Source organism: Homo sapiens, chromosome 18 (assembly GCF_000001405.40).
Source record: "Homo sapiens chromosome 18, GRCh38.p14 Primary Assembly".
In the NCBI taxonomy this organism is placed as follows: domain Eukaryota; kingdom Metazoa; phylum Chordata; class Mammalia; order Primates; family Hominidae; genus Homo; species Homo sapiens.
The window spans coordinates 62850664-62873413 of record NC_000018.10 but is presented as its reverse complement, the minus strand read 5'-3'; the positions used below and the strand labels follow the sequence as shown (position 1 = coordinate 62873413).

The window sequence follows — 22750 nt, the reverse complement described above, 5'->3', positions numbered from 1 at the left end:
TAAACAATTTAAGTGTATTTTAATTGTCACCAATTTGGCAAGTACTTACTAGAACACAGGCTTCTTTCTTAAACTGGTTGGTATAAGTAACTAGTAATTAAAATAGTCTAAGATAAAGACATTTTAGTTGAACTTAAGTGACAAACTTTCCAAGTACCATGGACAAAGTTACTGGAAACACACACATACAAATTATTACTATCAAACTTTACTTTTGACTTCATTCTCCTATTTCTTTTTCTAAACATGGCAGGATATCACCATAAAAGAACTCTCTATCATCCCTTATGAAGGACTGCAGAATACGCTACCCCAAAATATACCACTTTGGCATAAGGATTATACTGGGCCAAACGCACTTGAAAAACAGCAGGTGTAAAAAGGAGTGCTCTGACCTCCCCTTTTCTTTTTTTTTTTTTTTTTTTTTGAGGCAGAGTTTTGCTCTGTCGCCCAGGCTGGAATGCAGTGGCTCAGTCTCGGCTCACTGCAACCTCCGCCTCCCAGATTCAAGTGATTCTCCTGCTTCAGCCTCCCGAGTAGCTGGGACTACAGGTACCCGCCACTACACCTGGCTAATTTTTGTATTTTTAGTAGTGGCGGGATTTTACCATGTTGGCCAGGCTGGTCTTGAACTCCTGACCTCAAATAATCCACTCACCTCAGCCTCCCAAAGTGCTGGGATTACAGGCGTGAGCCACCACGCCCCACCTAATTTTTTTTTTGAGACTGAGTCTCGCTCTGTCCCCCAGGCTAGAGTCCAGTGGCGCGATCTCTGCTCACTGCAACCTCCACCTCCCGGGTTCAAGCGATTCTCCTGCCTCAGCCTCTGGAGTAGCTCGGATTACAGGCACCCACCACCACACTGGCTAATTTTTGTAGTTTTAGTTGAGACAAGGTTTCACCATGTTGGCCAGGCTGGTTTCAAACTCCTGGCCTCAAATGATTCACCCACCTCGGCCTCCCAAAGTGCTGGGATTATAAGCCTGAGCCACTGCATCTGGCCTCTGACCTCCCCTTCTTGAAATCAAGAAACAAAACTCCCTTGTGAAAGATGCCCTCTATGTAGCAGGAGGAAAGCAACATTCTGACCACAAGAGACGGAATGGAGGCTAAGACAATTCTGTACAAACATCATTTGTTAAAATAACTCATCTTCCTTTGGTCTCCCCATATATTTGACTTACTTTTCCACAATTTCTTCTGGGTTCAACCTAGTACATAAGCACTTAGATTTTGTCACTTCTTTAGGTCTTCATTTTCCCATGGGGGTTCCTATGCACATGTAAAAATCTGTATACTTTTCTCCTGCTAATGCCTTATGTCCATTTAGTTCTCAGAACCAGGTGGAGGCTTTTAGAGGGTACGGGTAAAGTTTTGCCTCCTCTATATTTACAAACTCTAGGTCCTTCAATGATCCTCCCTATACATCCTTAATAAATGATAAATAAATGGCACATTTATAAGAGCTAGGCCAGGTGCAGTGGCTCATGCCTATAACCCCAGCCCTTTGGGAGGCCGAGGCAGGCGGATCACTTGAGGTGAGGAATTCAAGACCAGCCTGGCCAACATGGTGAAACCCCATCTCTACTAAAAATACAAAAATTTGCTGGGCGTGGTGGCGCGTGCCTGTAATCCCAGCTACTCAGGAGGCTGAGGCAGGAGAATCGCCTAAGTCTGGGAGATGGAGGCTGCAGTGAGCTGAGATCACGCCACTGTACTCCAGCCTGGGGGACAGACCAAGACTGTAAAAAAAAAAAAAAAAAAAAAAATTTTCAGAGCTAAATTTGGCCAGGCGTGGTGACTCACGCCTGTAATCCCAGCACTTTCGGAGGCCGAGGCAGTCAGATCACCTGAGGTCAGGAGTTGGTGACCAGACTGGCCGACATGGTGAAACTCCGTCTCTACAATAATACAAAAATTAGCCCGGGTGTGGTGGTGCACGCCTGTAATCCCAGTTACTTGGGAGGCTGAGGCAGGAGAATTGCTTGAACCCAGGAGGCAGAGGTTGCAGTGAGCCGAGATTGCACCACTGCACTCCAGCCTGGGTGACAAGAGTGAAATTCCATCTCAAAAAAAACAAAAACAAAAACAAAAATAAACAGAGCTAAATTTGAATTTACCAGGGCAGTAAAATGTTCAAACACCATTATAATTTAGTGTGAATAAGTTCATACAGCTTTGCTATCATATTAAAAACATAAAATTAAGACATGGGGGAAAAAATATATTCCTTAAATTTAAATCAGCAAAAAGTTGTCTTCTTCACTGACTCTACAAAGAAACTTACCATATTTTATGAAAAATCATTCTCTATTGCAAATAACAATAATCTTAGTATTAAGACTATCTGAGTCATCTAGAGATATAGTTAACATAAATGAAGCACTATTAATAAAAGAGATAAACAATGTATTATAGTTATTAGTGACACATATAATAAGGAAAGAAACCATCAACACCACCAAAAATTACCCTGATGTTTGCCTCTCCTCTATATTTTGAAAACTAACTTGAAGAGTTCCAATGCCAATAAAGGAAAAACAAACAGCACTAGTTCCAAGAACAATGTTTTCCCTCTGAAACTGCTGACCTGTGTGTGTACATCAGCATGCCATCTTTCCAGATTTAGAATGTTGGTGCAAATACCAATTTAAATGTTCTGTGAAAATAGCTCATTTGTTAAAGGTAAAAATTTGTAGTAGAAAGAAAAATTAAGGGGATATGTGCTTAAGATAAAATGTCTCTGAACTCCTACCTGTTATAATTATATTGTACTTTAAGTTTCTCCCTGGTTATTTGTCCTAACATTGTAACCTAAAACTTAATTCCTTGAAACTTAGGTAAAAACGTAAAAATAAATTACCCTTTGGCATCTAAAATGTTCCCTGTGAAACATACATTAGAGATTACCACAAATTCCTAAACACACAAATAAAAATAAGCAACTAAATATATGGCATATTTCGAAGCCACCACACTAAGTGACTGGACATTTAAAAACCACGTTAATGCTTTCTGCAGTACTAACATGACTTTCTTAAATACACATTATACATTTAATTCCTGGTATTAAATATATGTATATAAGAGGGGGGTATATATGCATGTGTGTACTTATCAACTTATTACTCTGGAATCTTAGCAATAAAAATTTTTCTTGGACAATGGAAGTGGGAGACAAACACCTCATAGTAGTGTGTAATGAAAGAGAAACTGGTGGCCGGGCACAGTGGCTCACACCTGTAATTCCAGCATTGTGGGAGACCGAGGCTGGCAGATCACAAGGTCAGGAGTTCGAGACCAGCCTGGCCAATATGGTGAGACCCCCCTCCGTCTCTACTAAAAATACAAAAATTAGCCAGGCGTGTTGGCGCGCACCTGTAGTCCCATCCATTCGGGAGGCTGAGGCAGAAGAATCGCTTGAACCTGGGAGGCAGAGGTTGCAGTAAGCCGAGGCGAGATCGTGCCACTGCACTCCAGCCTGGGCGACAGAGCAAGAGCCCGTCTTAAAATAAAAAGAAAGAGAAACTGGTATAAAGCCTAGTTTTTTACAAAGAGCAGCAAAACAGCAGCTTCACCAGTTACTCCGATACCACATAGGAAGTCCCCTAGGCCTATCTTCCCCATGCTTAAAGCAACAGAAAGAACAAAACAGAAATCTTTTATTGCAGTGTAAAATTTTAAAATTCTCTACCTTAAACAAATCAAAATCACTGCCTTATATTACACAGTACAAAGTACAAGCTGATAATATGTCACTTGGTATGCTTTGTTTTGCTTTTTTAAAAGAAAAGTCAGTGAAAGAAGCTGGACTCAAACACATATTGTGTGCTCCATTTAGATCAAGTACAAAGACAAGTGAAACTACTTCATGATGTTCTAAGTCAGGATAGTGATGATGTTTAGGGTAATAAAGAGAAGGGTACAAGGACAGCTTCTGGAGTGCTGGCAATATTCTCTTCCTCATATGTGTACTGGTTACATGGATGTGTTCACTTTGTGGAAATCCATCAAGTTATACACTCATATCTGCCTTTTCTATGTTTTTTTATACTTCTACAAATTTTCAAAAGGTTACAGAAGGAGGAGTAAGACCCCAGATCCTCTCCCCAATTCCAGCAGAGGACAGTTTATTCCCTGGAAGAAAACGAACCAGAGTCCCTGATTCAAAGACATCAGGCATACTACATCACAGCATGACAAACAGGGAAACTGCTTTCTTCGGCCCTTCATTTGACCCAGGGAGGTAATTTGGAAGAAAGAGAATAGTCTGTCAAAGCATCAGGGAGGTAATTTGGAAAAGAGAGAATAGTTTGTCAAACTATAGAGCAATAAGAGAATGAAAACCACTGAGTTAATTTCTTATTTAGTTATACATACAGCTTGAGTATTCTCAATGATTCTTCTTCATCTTGAGATTTTAAACAACAGCTGAAAGATGGCTCATGTCCAGTGACTTGGTTTACTTTTATATTCAAAATATTTCAGTCTCAGTGTAATATACTCATTTTCTGAGATGCTGATTATTGAACATATGATCTCTAAAAAGATAATTCCAGAAGTCCATCTGGGTAGCATCAAAGACTCCTTTATCTCCTTTCATACCACATGGCTCAGTAATACTGTCTTATCAGACATGTGTTCTTTGCAATTATTTTTCTGATCAATGATAGGTTTGGGAAATTAGAGAAAATAAATGTCACTGAAAACAAAGTATTAACTAAATTTGTACATTTAATGTTAATGTTTACATATACAATTTTAAGATACAACTTTTTTTTTTTTTTTTTTTGAGACAGAGTCTCGCTCAGTCACTCAGGCTGGAGTGCAGTGGCGCCATTTCAGCTCACTGCAACCTCTGCCTCCCAGGTTCAAGCGATTCTCTTGCCTTAGCCTCCTGAGGAGCTGGGATTATAGGTGTGCGCCATGACGCCTAGCTATTTTTTTGTATTTTTAGTAGAGACGGGTTTCACCATGTTGGCCAGGCTGGCCAACATGACCTCAAATCATCCACCCACCTTAGCCTCCCAAAGTTACAGGCAAGATACAATTTTCATCTAAAATAGTCTGAAGTTATCCCTTATTGATTTGGTACACATGCAATGCTATAGAAACTGGCTTATGGAAGTTAAAATGAATAAGACATGATTGTCAAAGGATGACGGTATAATCTGTAGTATTGTTTAATTCTTTGTAATTACTTAAGTGTCAAAATATCTCTCATAAATTGAAAAGAAAAAAGTTATCAAGCATAACAGAAAACACTGTTCTGAAAACAGGGAAGTTAAATAAAAATCCACATATGGCCGGGCACAGTGGCTCACGCTTGTAATCCCAGCACTTTGGGAGGCTGACGCGGGAGGATCACAAGGTCAGAAGATCGAGACCATCCTGGCTAAAACAGTGAAACCTTGTCTCCACTAAAAATAGAAAAATTAGCCGGGCGTGGTGGTGGGCGCCTGTAATCCCAGCTACTCAGGAGGCTGAGGCAGGAGAATGGCGTGAATCTGGGAGGCGGAGCTTGCAGTGAGCCGAGATCGCCCCACTGCGCTCCAGCCTGGACAACAGAGCCAGACTCCATCTAAAAAAAAAAAAATCCACATACTAAACCTTGAGATTCTTCCTCTCTTTTCCACTCATTACCCTAAATCTTGGCATGCATCGCCGTGGCAGAATACCAAAGGGTTTCTCTAGTAAACTGACACCCCCTGAGGAAAAGGTCCACACACTGTCTTTGCTGTGTAGCAGGCCAGAAGAACAAGCACATACCCTGGCTCCAGGAAGAAAAAAGTCTCCAAGAAAAAGGTGCTGAGAGGAATATAAGAATTCCGTCAGAAAGCTTACAAATACCAGGGGAAAAAGAAAAGTATACAAGTGATAAAGTGAGGCTGCTATCAAGCCAGCACAAGAAAGGAAATATAATCACTGCAATTAAATCCCTTAGCTGTGAATAAGTTCCAGGTTCATAATAACGTAAACAGTGAGTACTGACTTAACCAAAAATTAACACCTATATATTGAGAGGATAGGGGAAAGAGAAGTTAGTACATGTGGTGTGGGGTAGATGGGGCGTGAGACAATGTAAATGAATGAAATCCTTATCTTCCATAGTAATGAGTCAACATATAATGTCCAATAATGAAAAAATCAAAACATAGCAGTATACACATAATATTTAGAAAGAGAAAGGAAAACGGCAGAAAGAGCCAAAAGATTCAAAAGGGTTGTCTAGGGAGCAGGACTTGGATGTAGGGATGGGCTGGAGCTTCAGGCACCTACTTCTTATTGTAAACTTCACTGCTTATTAAGATCTTTAAAAATCTATATAGGGTGTTACTTTGATGAAGGAAAAAGGCTTAAATTTTTAAAAATACAAAATAAAACAAAACCAAGAAATGTAAAAAACAGTGGGCAACAAAAATAGGGCTAACCTGCAGAGGGAAAATGACAACAAGACAATCAGCTCTCAAAGGTAGCGCAACAGACCAGGTGAGGGTTGAGAAGTACTTTTACTATAACAGCTGGGGAGAGAGGGTGTGTGCAGTAGAGGGATGGGAGCAGAGGAGAAAAGAGGATGAGCTCAAAAGATATCACACAGAATCAACAGACATGGGGGATCAAGTCGGTGACTCTGTAAGAACTAAAAGGCAAGACAGAATCTGAATCCTCCTGAAGTGGGTCATGCCCAAAATATCCCTCCACCTGGATATTTATTCCACAAATACTGGCTCTTTGGGAGCATTTTAATTTTCTTTTTATTTAGGTTTAAAATGTTTGGATTATTATGAAATACTCAAATTTAAAAAATGCAGAAAACTGTAACATTCATCGGCATTAACTATACAGCGTTTTAAAATACTAACCTTTTGGGCCAGGCGTGGTGGCTCATGCCTGTAATCCCAGCACTTTGGGAGGCCAAGATGGGTGGACTACCTGAGGTCAGGAGTTTGAGACCAGCCTGGCCAACATGGCAAAACCCCGTCTCTACTAAAACTACAAAAATTAGCCAGGCATGGTGGCGGGTGCCTGTAATCCCAGCTACTCAGGAGGCTGAGGCAGGAGAATCGCTTGAACCTGGGGGGCGGAGGTTGCAGTAAGTCAAGATCGCACCATTGCACTCCCGCTGGGCAACAGAGTGAGGCTCTGTCTCCAAAAAAAAAAAAACAAAAAACACAAAAACAAAAACGTTTTGGCCTCTCATTTTTCTTTTTAAAGAAATAAACGTTACAGATATAGTTGAAACCTTGTTCAAACCATTCACTAATCCCCATCCCCCGTCTCCCTAAAAGGTAACCATTAAACTGAATTTGGCAGTTAACATCCCCATAGACCCCAACTTTAAAAGAGAGCATTAGGTTGGATGAATTTTTTTTAACTTTTATTTTAAGTTCAAAGCTACATGAGCAGGTTTGTTACACAGGTAAACGTGTGTCATGAGGGTTTGTTGCACATATATTTCATCACCCAGGTACTACGCCTAGTATCTGTTAGTTATTTTTCCTAATCCTCTCCTTCTTCCTGCCCTCCAGCCTCCAATAGGCCCCACTGTGTGTTGTTCCCCTCTATGTGTCCATGTATTCTCATCACTTGACACCCACTTATAAGTAAGAACATGCAGTATTTGGTTTTCTGTTCCTGCCTTAATTTGCTAAGGATAACAGCCTCCAGCTCCATCCATGTCCCTGAAAAGGACATAATCTCACTTTTTATGGCTGCATAGTATTCCATGGTATATTAAGTACCACATTTCTTTATCCAGCCTATCATTGATGGGCATTTGGGTTGATAGTCTGGATGAATTCTAATGCACCATTCTGTTCTAAGACATCAGGATTTGGCAGTATGATAGAAAGCCTTTGATGTTCTATGATAGAAGTGCAAAAGTCTACACTTCTGTGAAATATGCAAAAATACTTCCCAATAATTTCAAACCTCAGAACACACTGATTGATGATAGTTCATGATGGGTAGCTCCAGAAACAAACAAACAAAATGATAATAATGATTATAACCTTTCAGCCAAAAAGAAAAAAAAAAGCATATTAACTTTACTGTTGTAGTGCCAGTACAACTTTTTATTTTATTTTTGAGACAGGTTTTCCCTCTGTTGCCTAGGCTGGAGTGCAATAGTGTAATCATGGCTCACCGCAGCCTCAAACTACTGGGATCAAGCAATCCTCATGCCTCAGCCTCCCCAGTAGCTGAGACTACAAGCATGTGCTACTATACCCAGCTAATTTTTAAATTTTTCTTTATAGAGATGGGGTCTCATGACATTGACAGGCTGGTTTCAAACTCCTGGTCTCAAGCCAGCTTCCTGCCTCAGTTTCCCAAAGTGTTGGGATTATAGGACTGAGCCATTGCATCCAGCCAGTCCAAAATTAGTAACAATACATAGAGCATATAAAACCTAAGCTTAAGTATTTTGCAAACAAATCAGTCCTACCATTTGTCTTTGGTGAAAATGCGAGACTGAAGACAGAAAAATTATGTTTAAAGAACTGTGGTATACCTGTTATTAGATTCTAGTATCAGTTGTTTTTGAGGTTTTTTCCTGCAATTTAGACTAATCCTACTTATTCCTGTGAACCAACCAGTGATCTCTGCTGCTGCTCAGAAGAAATAAAAGGGATGGGTAATGTAAAAATCCTGATCAGTATTCTAATTCTGGGCAGGTACTGGAATCAGCCAGGGACCCCATATCAGCTTGGTTCCACAACAACTGCCTAGTTAATAGAAAGCCTTCTTATTTAGTTTACTTGGGATAATTTTACTTATTTTGTTTTACTGTTGTAGAATATATTGCTGTTGTACTCTTTGTGTAGGAATGCAGATAAGCTTACTGAATGTTTTCTTAAATTGAACACTTACTATTCTTCCAGATAGCACCTCTTGTTGGAACTCACTGTTATCAATGGCCCTCGCCAGACCTACGCTTTGTGACTGACCTCCTCTCTACCTTGAATACAAGAGGCCCTCATAGTTAGGTAGGAATATCATTGTCCCTATTCAGCCTGAAGAAGTTACAGAAGATGGATCTTCATTCCTCTACAACCCTTAGGATTAAAGATCTCCTTATAAAAGGGAGGGGCAGCCAGGTGCAGTAGCTCACGTCTGTAATCCCAGTACTTTGGGAGGCCGAGGTGGGTGGATTACCTGAGGTCAGGAGTTCGAGACCAGCCTGGCCAACATGGTGAAACCCCACCTCTACTAAAAATACAAAAATTAGCTGGGAGTGGTGGCGGGCGCCTATAGTCCCAGCTACTCGGGAGGCTGAGGCAGGAGAATTGCTTGAACCCGGGAGGTGGAGGTTGCAGTGAGCCGAGACTGTGCCACTGCACTCCAGTCTGGGCAACAGGAGCGAGACTCTGTCTCAAAAAAATAAATTAATTAAAATAAATAAACAAATAAATTTTTAAAAATTAAAAAAATAAAAGGGAAGGGGGAAATATGTCAGAGGCATTCGAACCTGAGTGACTCCATCTTGAATAGGGGCTGGGTAAAATAAGGTTTACCCCTACTGGGCTGCATTCCCAGGAGGTTAGGCATTCTTACTCACAGGATGAAATAGGAGGTCAGCACAAGATACAGGTCACAAAGATCTTGCTGATAAAACAGGATGCGGTAAAGAAGCTGGCCAAAAGCCACCAAAACCAAAATGGTGATGAAAAGTTGACCTCTGGCTGTCTCACGGCTCATTGTATGCTGATTATAATGCATTAGCATGCTAAGAGACACTCCCACCAGCACCATGAGTTTACAAATCCCATGGCAATATCAGAAAGTTACTCTATATGGTCTAAAAAGGGGAGGGACCCTTAGTTCTGGGACTTGGCTACCCCTTTCCCAGAACACTCATAAATAATCTACCCCACTGATTATATTTAGCATATAATCAAGAAATAACCATAGGCTGGGCCTGGTGGCTCATGCCTGTAATCCCAGCACTTTGGGAGGCCGAGGTGGGTGGATCACTTGAGTCCAAGAGTTCAAGACCAGCCTGGCAACATGGTGAAACCCCATCTCTACTAAAAATATAAATTCTAGCTGTGCGTGGTGGTGGTGCATGCCTGTAATCCCAGCTATTTGGGAGGCTGAGGCAGGAGGATCACTTGAGCACGGGAGGCGAAGGTTGCTGTGAGCCACCACTGCACTCCAGCCTGGGTGACAGCAAAACAGTGTCTAAAAAAAGAAAGAAAGAAAAGAAGAAAGAAAAGAAGAGAGAGAGAAAAGAGAGAGAGAGAGAGAGAACCATAAAAGTAGCCAACCAGCAGCCCTTAGGGCTGCTTTGCCTATGGAGTAAGCCATTCTTTATTCCTTTACTTTCTTAATAAACTTGCTTTCAATTAAAAAAAAAAAAAAAAGAATACCACAGTGATAACTTTCATAGTACACGTCAGCTACAGGGGACAATCAGGAATTGCTGGAGCAAAATATCCTTATTAGAGTCTCGATTGCCTACGTAATTAATTCACTGCAGCACCAAACTGTCCCAGTTGTCATTATATTCTTCTCTATTCTTTTCTTCCGGGCAATATTAACAGTAAAAATATTCTTTAAAAAAATTGTAATGCCAGTTTTACTTAAGAATGTCCTTGATGACACACGAAAGTTATTTCTTATTACATCTCAACCCCTGAGTATATGTCTTTTTAATTTTCTGGGTGATAAAATAGGAAGTACACAAAAAACACTTCTGGTGCACACTGAAGTATGATAGTCATCTCAAGGAAAACACTTATCTGATTATGTGAGCTGTGGGCCAAACCAGTCGCTATTTATAGAGAACCCCATTTTTACTTGAAAGAGCAACTGACAAACTATTATTATTCATACTTGGGTATTTGGCAGACATTTTCTCAAAAATGAAGTGAGAAGTCTGCTTACCAGAAAACAACTGATGGCATGTGCTGCCAATAATGGCCTTCAAATTTCTAATGAAAAATTAAAATTTTGGAAAACTCGTTTCCACAGTAAGCTTAACAACATCCCAATACTTAAAAGACTTTACTGATAAGATCAGTGGTGATATTGGCTGGGCGCAGTGGTTCACACCTGTAATCCCAGCACTTTGGGAGGTCAAGGTGGGCGGATCACTTCAGGTCAGGAGTTCGAGACCAGACTGGCCAACATGGTGAAACCCCATCTCTACTAAAAATACAAAAAAATTAGCCAGGTGTTGGGGGAGCGCCTGTAATCCCAGCTACTTCAGAGGCTGAGGCGGGAGAATCACTAGAACGCGGGAGGCAGTGGTTGCAGTGAGCCGAGATTGTGCCACCACACTCTAGCCTGGGCGACAGAGTGAGACTCCATCTCAAAAAAAGAAAAAAAAAAAGATCAGTGGTGATATTAACAAATGTGAATTCTTAAAATTCCATAATAAAATACATTAACATTTGGAGTATCTGTGTTACACAACGGAGTAGTACTCTCCAAATGACCAACACTTAATGCAATAAAGTGATGCATGGGTAAAGAGTCAAATCAAACTGCAAGTCAGATCAATGGATCTTACCGTTAAAGAATTCAAAAAGCTCACGAATAGGGTTTTAGATTCCATTTTAGAACTAACATTTAAGAAATGACCACTTGTCAAGTTTTGGTATAGTATCAAGGAAGGATATTCACAATTACCTGAAAAGACAATTAAAATACTCTTCCATTTTCCAATTACATCCACAAACTTTATAAGCAACTATTGGATTATTTTTTCTGGATGTTAAAAACCATAAACAGAATCACAATGGTTATCACATTTTAATTCCTGATCATATCAGTCATGTAAAAACAAATGAACTAGCAATTATTTATTTAAAAGTTATATTCTTTGCAGTTACATAGTCTTACATATTTGCAACAAATATATAAGTATCAAAGGTTTAATTTACCACAGAATGAAGACTGATCACTGCTCCAAAGAGGAAAGGAAGTGAATGTGGTAAATTCTTAAATCTGTTTTGGAGACATGCAAGTCAAGTCCCTCTCTTCTAGTTTAAATGAGCAGATTCTAGGCCAGGCGTGGTGTCTCACGCCTATAATCACAGCACTTTGGGAGGCCAAGAAGGGCAGATCACTTGAGGTTAGGAGTTCAAGACCAGCCTGGCCAACATGGTAAAACCCCATCTCTACTAAAAATACAAAAATTAAGAGGGCGTGGGCGCCTGTAATCCCAGCTACTCGGGAGGCTGAGGCAGGTGAATCACTTGGGCCCAGGAGGAGGAGGTTGCAGTGAGCCGAGATCATGCCACTGCACTCCAGCCTGAGACAGAGCAAGACTCTGTCTCAAAAAAATAAAAAATAAAGGAGCAGGTTCTATTTATTTAACATGTGACTCCTGAAACCCACACACTAATCACCCAGATGACATGATGTAAGTTGATTTAAACGCTGGTTCTTAAATTTCTAAGGAAATATCTTTTTATGGGAAAAAATGACCTTTCATAAATTTCAAAAGAAACAATTTAATCTGAACAAACACCTGAAGTTCAGAAGTAACACACCAAATGTTATTAATTTTTTGCACATGCATTTTTAGATAGGAATAAAAGTTGTTTAAGGAGAATTGTTCTTACACAACTCTATCCAGTTAATAAATATCATAAATCATTAGTTTCAAAAGCAAGAACCTTAAAAAAAATTTCAGATTGAGAATTGGTAATGTCTTCACTAATAAACAAAGTCCTATTACCCTGTTATCTGAAGGAGAAAGTTTACACACTAGCTTTTTTCATGAGAATATTCAAGAGATAACAAGCAGAAGTTCATTCTGCCCCCACCCCTTCCTAATGATCTACCCATTTCTGCAGGCTTACCTTTGCAGTTCATTAAGCCCCCTGGCAGCTGGAAGGCTAGGGTTCTGCCTTAGGAAGTTTTGTTTTAAATTGAGATGAGTGAGGTCTTGGCTGTAGAAGAGGTTGGCAGGCAGATGTTCCAGGCTACAACACGAGAGGTCCACTGAGCTAATGCGCTGGGATGCAACCTAAAGGGGGATAAAACTTAATTTTAATACCATCCACTTATCCTATAACTACTTTCTATGGATAGAAATAAGATAATCCCAATTTGGAACAGATATTCTATGAAAGTAGCACTGTTAGTCCAAATATAAACCAACAGAGTATTCAGTCATGTGCCGCATACCAACCTTTCAGTCAATAACGTACCACACACAGCAGTCCCACAAGATTATAAAGAAGCTGAAAAAGTCCTATCACCTAGTGATATGGCAGCTATCATAATGTCATAGCACAACACACTGCCTTCTATGTTTAGATACACAAATATTTACCATTTTGTTACAACTGCCCACAGTATTCGGTACAGTAACATGCTACACAGGTTTGTAACCTAGGAGCAATAGCCTAGGTGTGTAGTTGGCTAACACCATCTAGGTTTGTGTAAGTACACACTGATGTTTGCACCATGAAGAAACTGCCTAACAACACATTTCTCAAGATACATCCCTGTCATTAAGTGATGCATGTCTGTACTTAGTATTTGAGCCAAGTACTTTATAAAAGCAGGAAAATGTCCCTGCCTGGAGGGTATGTACAGTAACCTAGCATAGGAGACAGGCTGGAAAGAACATAGATTATTCCATCAGGTTTAGTGATATCAGTAATCTCCTCCAATGCAGGAGTTTTATTCCTGAAAACATAAGGAATAATTCTCTCCGACAGAAAGAGAATTCAGAGCTATCGAGTAAATACACGGTCAAGAGACAGATACTAAGATCTAAACTGAACATATAAAAGCCATTGTATATACTGATTTAAAATAGCACAAATAAAGAAAAAGAACAAGACCTTTACACTGACCTTGTACACATCTTCAATTAATGGTACAGTAGAATCAGATTCCATTGCCTGTCTGCTACAAACTTTTCAGGCTGCCTCTCCCAGTTTCAGTGAAATGCTTACAAATTCATTGTGCTTTGCTTCATGTAAGTATTTTATGTAAAACTTATTTTATGTCTAAATATTTATCCAGATGTTCAATGCCTTCCTGGTTAAATGACTCCTCCCACAGCCAGGATCTCAGGGCTAAAGACCAACTTTTATGTGGGAAGCAGAAAACGCACTGACCACCCTGTATTTCTCAAATGCTCTTCCCAATATTGTAGGTAACACAGTGCCAATTTATGCTAAAGCACATGGCTTCAGCCCCACCTCCACACATCTTGGTTTTCTCTCCTCACAGAGGCAATGGGAGTACAGTTCTAAAACTTTGGTTAATTCTCCCTATTTATCTTTACCAAAGCTTTAGGGCAGAAACTTCACTGCTTCTCTGTGATCAGTCTGATCTCTTTTTCTTTTACCAAACCCCAGGTTTCTGTTCCTAATTACACAAGGCAGTAGAACGTAGTCCTTAGGTGTATGGTTCTGAGTTCAGTGTCCAGATTCATAGCCCAGCACCACCACTCAGGAGCTGAGATAACTTGAATAGATCACTGATCTAAGATCCAGTTTTCTCATCTGTATAACACGTATAAAGATGGTACCTACTTCTACATGCCTGGCACAGAAAAAGCACTCAATAAATGTTAACTGCTATTACTATTACTAGTACTACTACTAACACTACCATTTCCAAATCAAATCATTCACATTTTATTTTTTATTAAAAAAAATATTTTTAGATAATAAAGTAGGGGCAAGGTCTTGCCATGTTGCCCAGGATGGTCTCAAACTACTAGGCTAGGTTGATCCTCTCACGTCAGCCTCCCAAAGCGCTGGATTACAGGCATGAGCCACCATACCCAGCTTCATTCACATTTTATATCCACTAAAATTCATACTCTCCTGATGCTAAAAGTATCCAGAAGTAAATCTGCCTAAGATATGTTCTGCTAGATCAGGTATGGTGGCTCACATCTGTAATCCCAGCACTTTGGGAGGCCAAGGCAGGTGGATCATTTGAGGTCAGAAGTTCCAGACCAGCCTGGCCAATATGGTGAAACCCCGACTCTACTAAAAATACAAAAATTAGCTGGGCGTAGTGGTGGGTGCCTGTAATCCCGGCTACTCGGGAGGCTGAGGCAGCAGAATTGCTTGAACCCACGAGGCAGAGGTTGCAGTGAGCTGAGATCGTGCCATTGCAGTCCAGCCTGGGCAACAGAGAGAGGCTGTGTCTCAAAAAAAAAAAAAAAAAAGGTTCTGCTGATGGAATATTTGAGCTTAGGAGAAACTACTGTGCACACATGAAAGCTAAAGGTATACTGGGGTGAGAAAGGCTGGGCAGGACTTATCTCTAAAGACTTTACTGAGAAAGTCTGAGTTTGCATTTTACCAATTTTATCTTTCTGTGAATTTTCACCATTAAATAAGAAAAAGAAACTTCCAAACAGGGCCAAACCACTCATATAAAGAAAGATGTAAAAAGAGATAGAATGTTAATGGGCCTGAAAGTAGGTGCAAAAGCACCACGCTACACAGGATTCCTACGGCATTCATAGGAAGTGGATGGGAACCTGTTTATAGAAAGTGAGTTTGAAACCTCTGCTAGCTAGTGGAATCATTCATTCAAAAATATGTGTTGAGAATCTACTTAATGGTGTGTGGCAGGCCTTTTATTTCCTGAGACACAAAAGGAAAACAAGACAGACACAGTCTCTGCCCTGAATGAGTACACATCAAGAGGAGAGGGTAATTAAGATACTACATGATAACTGTTACAAGAATAGGAAGTGCAAGGACACAGAACAGAATCCCAGGGGTCAGAAAAGGATTCCCAGAGGATGTAATATCCAAGCCCAAACTTGAAGCCTCAGTAGAAATCTGTGTTTTTTGCCCCAAATCCTTTCTCCTTCAAACTCATGATCCTAAGGGGAACTGCAAACAAAGTACCCAGATGCTCTGGATTCGTGGGTAAGCATGCACTCCAGGTCTGAGCAATCTGAGTGTCCTATCTGCTGAAGCCACAGACTGATCCAACAGGTGCTAGCATGGGACCCAAGCTAGGTTAATCAGAGGACTTCTCTGGGATTTACATATTCTGAAACCAGGAAAGAAAGAGAACCAGCTGCTTAGAGCTGCAGTTAAAATGAAGGAACTAGATCCATATGTATCAATCTGACTTGATACAAATGCAAACTGCAGCATGACACATTCCATTTATGAAAACAATTTTTAATACAATACACACACACCTCCATATATTAGATGGATGAATAGTTATATGTGCAATATATACCGTGAGATCATAAATTTCTATTGTTTTAAGCCACCAAGGGTTTGCTAATATGTTACAGCAGCCACAGGAAACTAATGCAACCCTTCTTTATTTTTTCCATTGTACTTTTTTTCATTTTCATTCATTCAACATGTTTACTGAATATCTACTAGAGGTGCCAATTACCGTTCTAGGTGAGCCCTTAATATACTTCAGAAAACAAAATGAAGATCCCTCCCCTATTAAGCTTTCTTTACAAATAAATAAATTATATGTTAAAAAAATTGGTAAGCACTACAGAGAAAAAAAAAACAGCTTGAGAAAGGGGGTCAAGACTGCTGGGAAGGTGGTGGATTGTAATTTAAATAGGTTGGTGAGAGTGGTGCCCACTGAAAAGACCACATTTAGAAAGGAAAAACCGGAGAAGTTGGCAGATAGGATTTATCTGGAAGAAGATGCTGCCAGGCAGAGGAAGTACCCAGAGTTAGGACCCTTAGAGAAGCATGCCTTAGCTAGGCATGGTGGCTCATGCCTGTAATCCCAGCACTTTGGGAGGCTGGGGTGGGAGGACTGTTTGAGCCCAGAAGTTCGAGATCAGCCTGGGCAACATAGTGAGACCACCAACTCTACTAATAAAAAAATTTTTTAATTAGCTGGGCGTGGTGGTGCGTGCCTATAGTTCCAGCTACTCGGGAGGCTGAGGTGGACGGACCACTTGAGCCCAGAAGGTCGAGGTTGCAGTGAGCTTTGATCACACCACTGCACTCCAGCCTGGGCAATACAGCCAGACCCTGTCTCAAATTTGTAAAAGGAGCACACTTGGCATGTCCGAGGGACTTGAGAACACTGATAATAAGGAGACAGTGACTGGCAATGAGGTCAGAAGGTAAGGGGGCAGGGGATATGGGGTAAGCAGCAGATCCTGTGGGACCCTCAGGCCTTGTAAGGACTCTGGCTTTTAAGGTGAGTGAAATGGGATGTGTGGAAAGGTTCTGAGAAGTGTGAGGTGATCACCAACATATGGTCGGCGCTCCATATCCACTGGGGATTAGCTCCTGGACCCCAGCAGGTATCAAAATCCACGGATGCTCAAGTCCCTGACATAAAATGCCATAGTACACTCAGCCCTCCGTGTTGGCAGGTTTTGATCCCCGGTTAGTTGAATCTGAAAATGGGAAACTCGCAGTAAGAAGGGCCTACTGTACCATGGAATTTTCTTATTTTTTCTCTATCTTTGTCTCTAGATTGTAAGCTCCATAAAGGAAAGGATTTTTCTATTTTGTTCACTGATATAACCCCACGTTGAGTACTTGGGAGGACCCTCAAAACATCTTGCTGGAAGAATGGCCAGAAGACGACCTTATACCTCCTCCTTTCTCACCAGGCGGCCTCTGCATCTAGTGCATCCTTTCATTTGGCAACCACTTTGAAGAAGACAAATTCCATTTCAAATGAAGCATCCCACTAAATACTCCCTTTGGACAACTAAGAGAAAATGATTTAACATCAAGTTGTATTGGCTTCCTTTCCTCCTTCTAGACCGTAAGCTGTTTCTGCTGGAAACAAGGAGGAGGAAACCACATTAACGAGGCTACAAGCAAGGGCAGTCCTGTGTGAGCTATGTAGAACTAGGAATGTCTATCGTGAGAACATAAATTCAACATGTTAATATGGCCACTAGGCAGTGAGCTGCATAGGTGACCACAAAAGCTACCACTAGCTACACCACTGCCCAGTCCCATAAGCTGCAACAGAATGGGAGATTTAAGTGCTTCTACTCAGAGCAACCTGGGCACATCAGGGCTCTATCACAAAGAGTTAAGAACCAGGAAAGCACTCTACTTAGAAGGTATGGCTTGATTCCCAAATGAGAAAACTACCAGCTGGGCTATCCAAAGAAACTGTGACCCACCTACACAGCAGCTATTAAAACTGAGATCCTGCCTGAAATAAGAAAGACCTACATACATAAAAAAAATTAATCAAAAAACCACATGTGCACACCTCAGAGCAAGTAGGCTTTATTATTCTAGCGTTTTCCTTTTCCAAGTAACAATAATAATAGTTAACATTTAAGTAGTGCCTTCTTTGTGATAGGCACTCTTCCAAGAGCTTAAGATACAATATTTAGCTTAATCTTCCCAATACCCTGTGCAGTAAGAACTTACCCCTGTTTCAAAGATAAAGATTAAACTGAGTCACAGAGTGTGCGCCCAAGGCCATTTAGTTTAAAAAGCAGCAGGATCAGGCTGGGTGTAGGGGCTCATGCCTGTAATCCCAACACTATGGGAGGCCGAGGTGGGTGGATCATTTGAGGTCAGGAGTTTGAGACCAGCCTGGCCAACATGGTGAAACCCCTTCTCTACTAAAAATACAAAAATTAACCAGGCGTGGTGGTGGGTGCCTGTAATTCCAGTTACTCAGGAGGCTGAGGCAGGAGAATCACTTGAACCTGGGAGGCGGAGATTGCAGTGAACCAAGATTGAGCCATCACACTCCACCCTGGGTGACAAGAGCGAAACTTCATCTCAAAAAAAAAAAAAAAAAAAAGTAGCAGGATCAGAGTTTGAACAAGAGCCAGTACTATTAACTCTATGCCATCAGGTCAAGACCTGGATCTCATCAGAAGGGAGGCTCCTCTAATCTCCATCATAAAATAACATAACTACAGCAAAGAAAATTAGATGTACTCCTCAGGATATGTTTAAGCCTTAGAAATGAAGACAAGGTGGTCAGAGACAGTGAGTCCTCCTCGGGAGAAGCAGTAGAGACCATCTGCTGACCAAATACAGATTTCCGAGGAGGGGTGAATCCCCATGGGGCATTATTCCTTGACATCATAGGCTCTGCCCACTCCAATCCCACACAACTTATCCAGCTGGGCAACAGTGATGCCATCCAGTGAGCACCTAATCAAAATTTTAAAGGTTACAGGAAAAGTATAAGAGGTTATAGATATTTGGGAAGTGAAACAGGCATATATAGAAAGTGCCTCAAATCTCTGTTACAGAAAGCTTCTAAAGGATCTCAGAATATAAATTCCTTTTGGCAAAAGCTACTGTACTTATAACCACAGACAAGATAGTTGAAGGCACAAAGGTGAGGTCCACACAACTTGACATACAGGAGAAAGGGCACCAGCTTAACAGTATGTGGGGTAGGTAGGAACAGTTCTACTTACTAGCAACGTGACTTTGAATAAGTCACTTCGCTTACCTGTCCTTCAAGTTTCCGTATCTCTAAAATAGACTAAGTCCTGTCTTATAGACTAATAGACCTGCCCTGATCACCTTAACAAGTTGCTGCAGTAATACCATTTTATTCATTTTAAAAAATCAGGAGAGGCTCTGTAGACCAAGTATCTCCACAGCAATGTCTACCACTCCAAGCAATAAAAGTCTATAAAACAAAAAAGACTACGATGTAAGCCAATGCTCTCGTCGTTGAGCAGTTATAAGGATAAACTGCAATTAGCCAGACCATCAATGAACTATAGACGAAGAGATTCAAGTTGTGATCAGTTGAAGGTAACTGTGCCATAGAAAGTCAGTTTTAGTCTGTATTAACAATAACAGGCTGGGGGCAGAGGCTCACGCCTGTAATCCCAGCACTTTGTGGGGCCGAGGGGGGCAGATCACCTGAGGTCAGGAGTTCGAGACCAGCCTGGCCAACATGGGGAAACTCCATCTCTACTGAAAATACAAAAATTAGCTGGGTGGGGTGGCGGGCACCTGTAATCCCAGCTACTCAGGAGGCTGAGGTAGGAGAATCGCTTGAACCCGAGAGGCAGAGGTTGCAGGGAGCCAAGATTGCGCCACTGCACTCCAGCCTGGGCAACAACAGCAAGACTCCATCTCAAAAACAAAACGAAACAAGAACAAAAAAAAAAAAGAAAAAAGAAAAAAAATTAAGGCTAATTGAGTTAGTAAATTAAATGGGACTTTTCTACCACGATGGACACACCCTGAGAGATACATCAAAATGAACATAATTTCCAACTACCTGCTCAGGTGGTCTCTTTTTTTCCCAAATGACTTGTAAATATACATAAGGGAAGGAGGGTTCATTTGGTCCTCAAAATATTTCCTCTAAAGAACACTGCACTATAAAAAATGCTAATGTGAACAACAAAATTTTCAGATGACTCAATGGGTGGCCACACATTTCTAACATATAACTCAGCTTGACACTTTCCTAAGTCATTTCTTTGCCTATTATTAGGACCCTTATGACAAAAACGTCCCTCCTCTGAGTGTAGCTGGGTTGCATTTGTAAACCAATCTATCTGTCCTATCCTTACCCTATCCCTGCCACGCTTTCAAAATTCTCATCTTCCCTTGCAAGAGGACAGTACTCTGCATCATTCCCATTACTCTTCTTGGTTCAGTTAGTGGATAATCGTCTTTCACAGGCAAGGGAAAGTTCACAGTAACATTAATGTGATGATTTTGCCCCCTCTATACTTTAGTAAAGTTGTATTTATCCTTCTTATGTGCATGGCATGCTCAAAATTAACCAGAATGACTCTAAAAGGCTTGGTCAAAGCAGCTGAAATACCACAAATAATTCTGCTTGTGTGAAGTGAAACACTGCTGTCAACCTGCCGGGCATGGTGGCTCACGCCTGTAATCCCAGCACTTTGGAAGGCCGAGGCGGGCGGATCATGATGTCAGGAGATCGAGACCATCCTGGCTAACACAGTGAAACCCCGTCTCTACTAAAAATACAAAAAATTAGCCGGGCGTGGCGGCAGGCGCCTGTAGTCCCAGCTACTCGGGAGGCTGAGGCAGGAGAATGGCATGAACCCAGGAGGCGGAGCTCGCAGTGAGCCGAGATTGGGCCACTGCACTCCAGCCAGGGTGACACAGTGAGACTCCATCTCAAAAAATAAATAAATAAATAAAAATTAATTACATCATATATCTTCATAATGTTCCAATAAAAGCATATCAAAGCTACCAGTTTTATACTTATGAAATTCTACCTGGAATTTCAGAATCTCACCATTTCTTTTTCTTAAATGGTTAAATGAGATGGAAAAAGATATATAAGCAATAAAATAAGGGCCAGGCACAGTGACTCATGCCTGTAATTTCTACACTTTGGGAGGCTGAGGCGGGAGGACCACTTGAGTCCAGGAGATTGAGGCCAGCCCAGACAACACAGCAAGACCCCATCTCTACAAAATTAAATTAAAAAATTGGCCAGGTGTGGTGGCACGTGCCTATAGTCCTAGCTACATGGGAGGCTGAGGTGGGAGGAATCCTTGAGCCCAGAAGCTTGAGGCTGCAGTGAACTATGATTGTGCCACTGCCCTCCAGCATGGGTGACAGAGGGAGATCTTGTCTCAAAAAAAAAAGAAAAGAAAAAAGATTACGCAAATTATACAACATTTAAAATGATTCGAGGTAATGACATAGCAAATCAATGAATACAACAGGAAAATCCAGACAGGCTATCATCAATAGGTTAAAAATGAGAGATGGGCTGGGCACAGTGGCTCACGCCTGTAATCCTAGCACTTTGGGAGGCCGAGGCAGGCAGATCATGAGGTCAGGAGTTTGAGACCAGTCTGACCAACATAATGAAACCCTGTCTCCACTAGAAATACAAATATTAGCCGGGTGTGGTGGCGCACACCTGTAATCCCAGCTACTCAGGAGACTGAGGCAAGAGAATCTCTTGAATCCGGGAGGCGGAGGTTGCAGTGAGCCAAGATCGCACCACTGCACTCCAGCCTAGGCGACAGAGCAAGACTCCATCTCAAAAATAAATAAATAAATATGAGAGATGGTATTCTGTTGAGGGCAAGAGCATGTGGGAGAGGTAGGATCTATGATTTTAAAATGATAGGCTATGAGGTACCTGTTAAAATATAGTTAAAAGACCCAAAAATAAGAGTATGGAAACAACTGCAGGCTGGGGAAGAAAACAAAACAAAACAAAATCCCTGGCTCACTGTTCAAGGACCAAGCTATAACAATATTTAAAAAGCCAATCAAGAGAACTCCAGACCAAGAGATCCTCCAAGGTATCCTCAGCTCTCTTTGCCAGCAGAGGTGAGGGGATGGGGATGAGGAGGCAGCATGCGCGGGGCCATCAAGCTAACCTGAATGAATCATTCAATAAACATTTGTTATTTGCCTTTTATGAACCAGGAACTATACCAGGTACTGGAGAGATGCAGTCTTTGTCTCCAAAAGCTTAGCCTCTTGAGGACACACACATCTAAATAACTGTAATTCACTAAAGAGGATGCAGCAGTGCCATAAGAGCACACACAGGGCCAAGAACAATCCTCAGAGCTCCACGTCGACAGCATCAGTGCCGACACAGTCCCCTCCCTTGACAAAATGAGCCACGTATTCACAGGCACTTCTGCTGCATTTGTCCAGTGAGCTCATCATGCGGCCAAAAGTGAAAATGTGGACTCTTTAGGAGTCAGATGCAACAGTATAGGGTCAGAGGAGATGTCACTAACAGCTTTCCAAAATCATGAGCCACCAGTGTCACTCTAACAGTTATCTCCCTTCCACACACACAAACCCCATTGTGTTTCTCAGTAACAACAAAAAAATAG

At 41.3% G+C, this 22750-nt stretch overlaps 1 protein-coding gene across 1 annotated transcript in view, besides 1 other annotated feature; it reads right to left on the bottom strand.

Moving 5' to 3' along the window:
- The window catches only part of PHLPP1 (PH domain and leucine rich repeat protein phosphatase 1), a 264893-nt gene that overhangs the window by 107020 nt on the left and 135123 nt on the right, over positions 1 to 22750 (bottom strand). The window contains exon 4 of the mRNA NM_194449.4: positions 12813 to 12979. Coding sequence (NP_919431.2) covers positions 12813 to 12979 — 167 coding nt within the window. The remainder of the gene's footprint in view (positions 1 to 12812; positions 12980 to 22750) is intronic.
- Positions 781 to 1282: an enhancer, noted in NCBI's record as "H3K27ac hESC enhancer chr18:60539365-60539866 (GRCh37/hg19 assembly coordinates)". NCBI's record gives its function as "activates a minimal SCP1, AML or CMV promoter by ChIP-STARR-seq in primed H9 embryonic stem cells {active_cell/tissue: H9 hESC(primed)}" and the evidence as "EXISTENCE:reporter gene assay evidence [ECO:0000049][PMID:30033119]".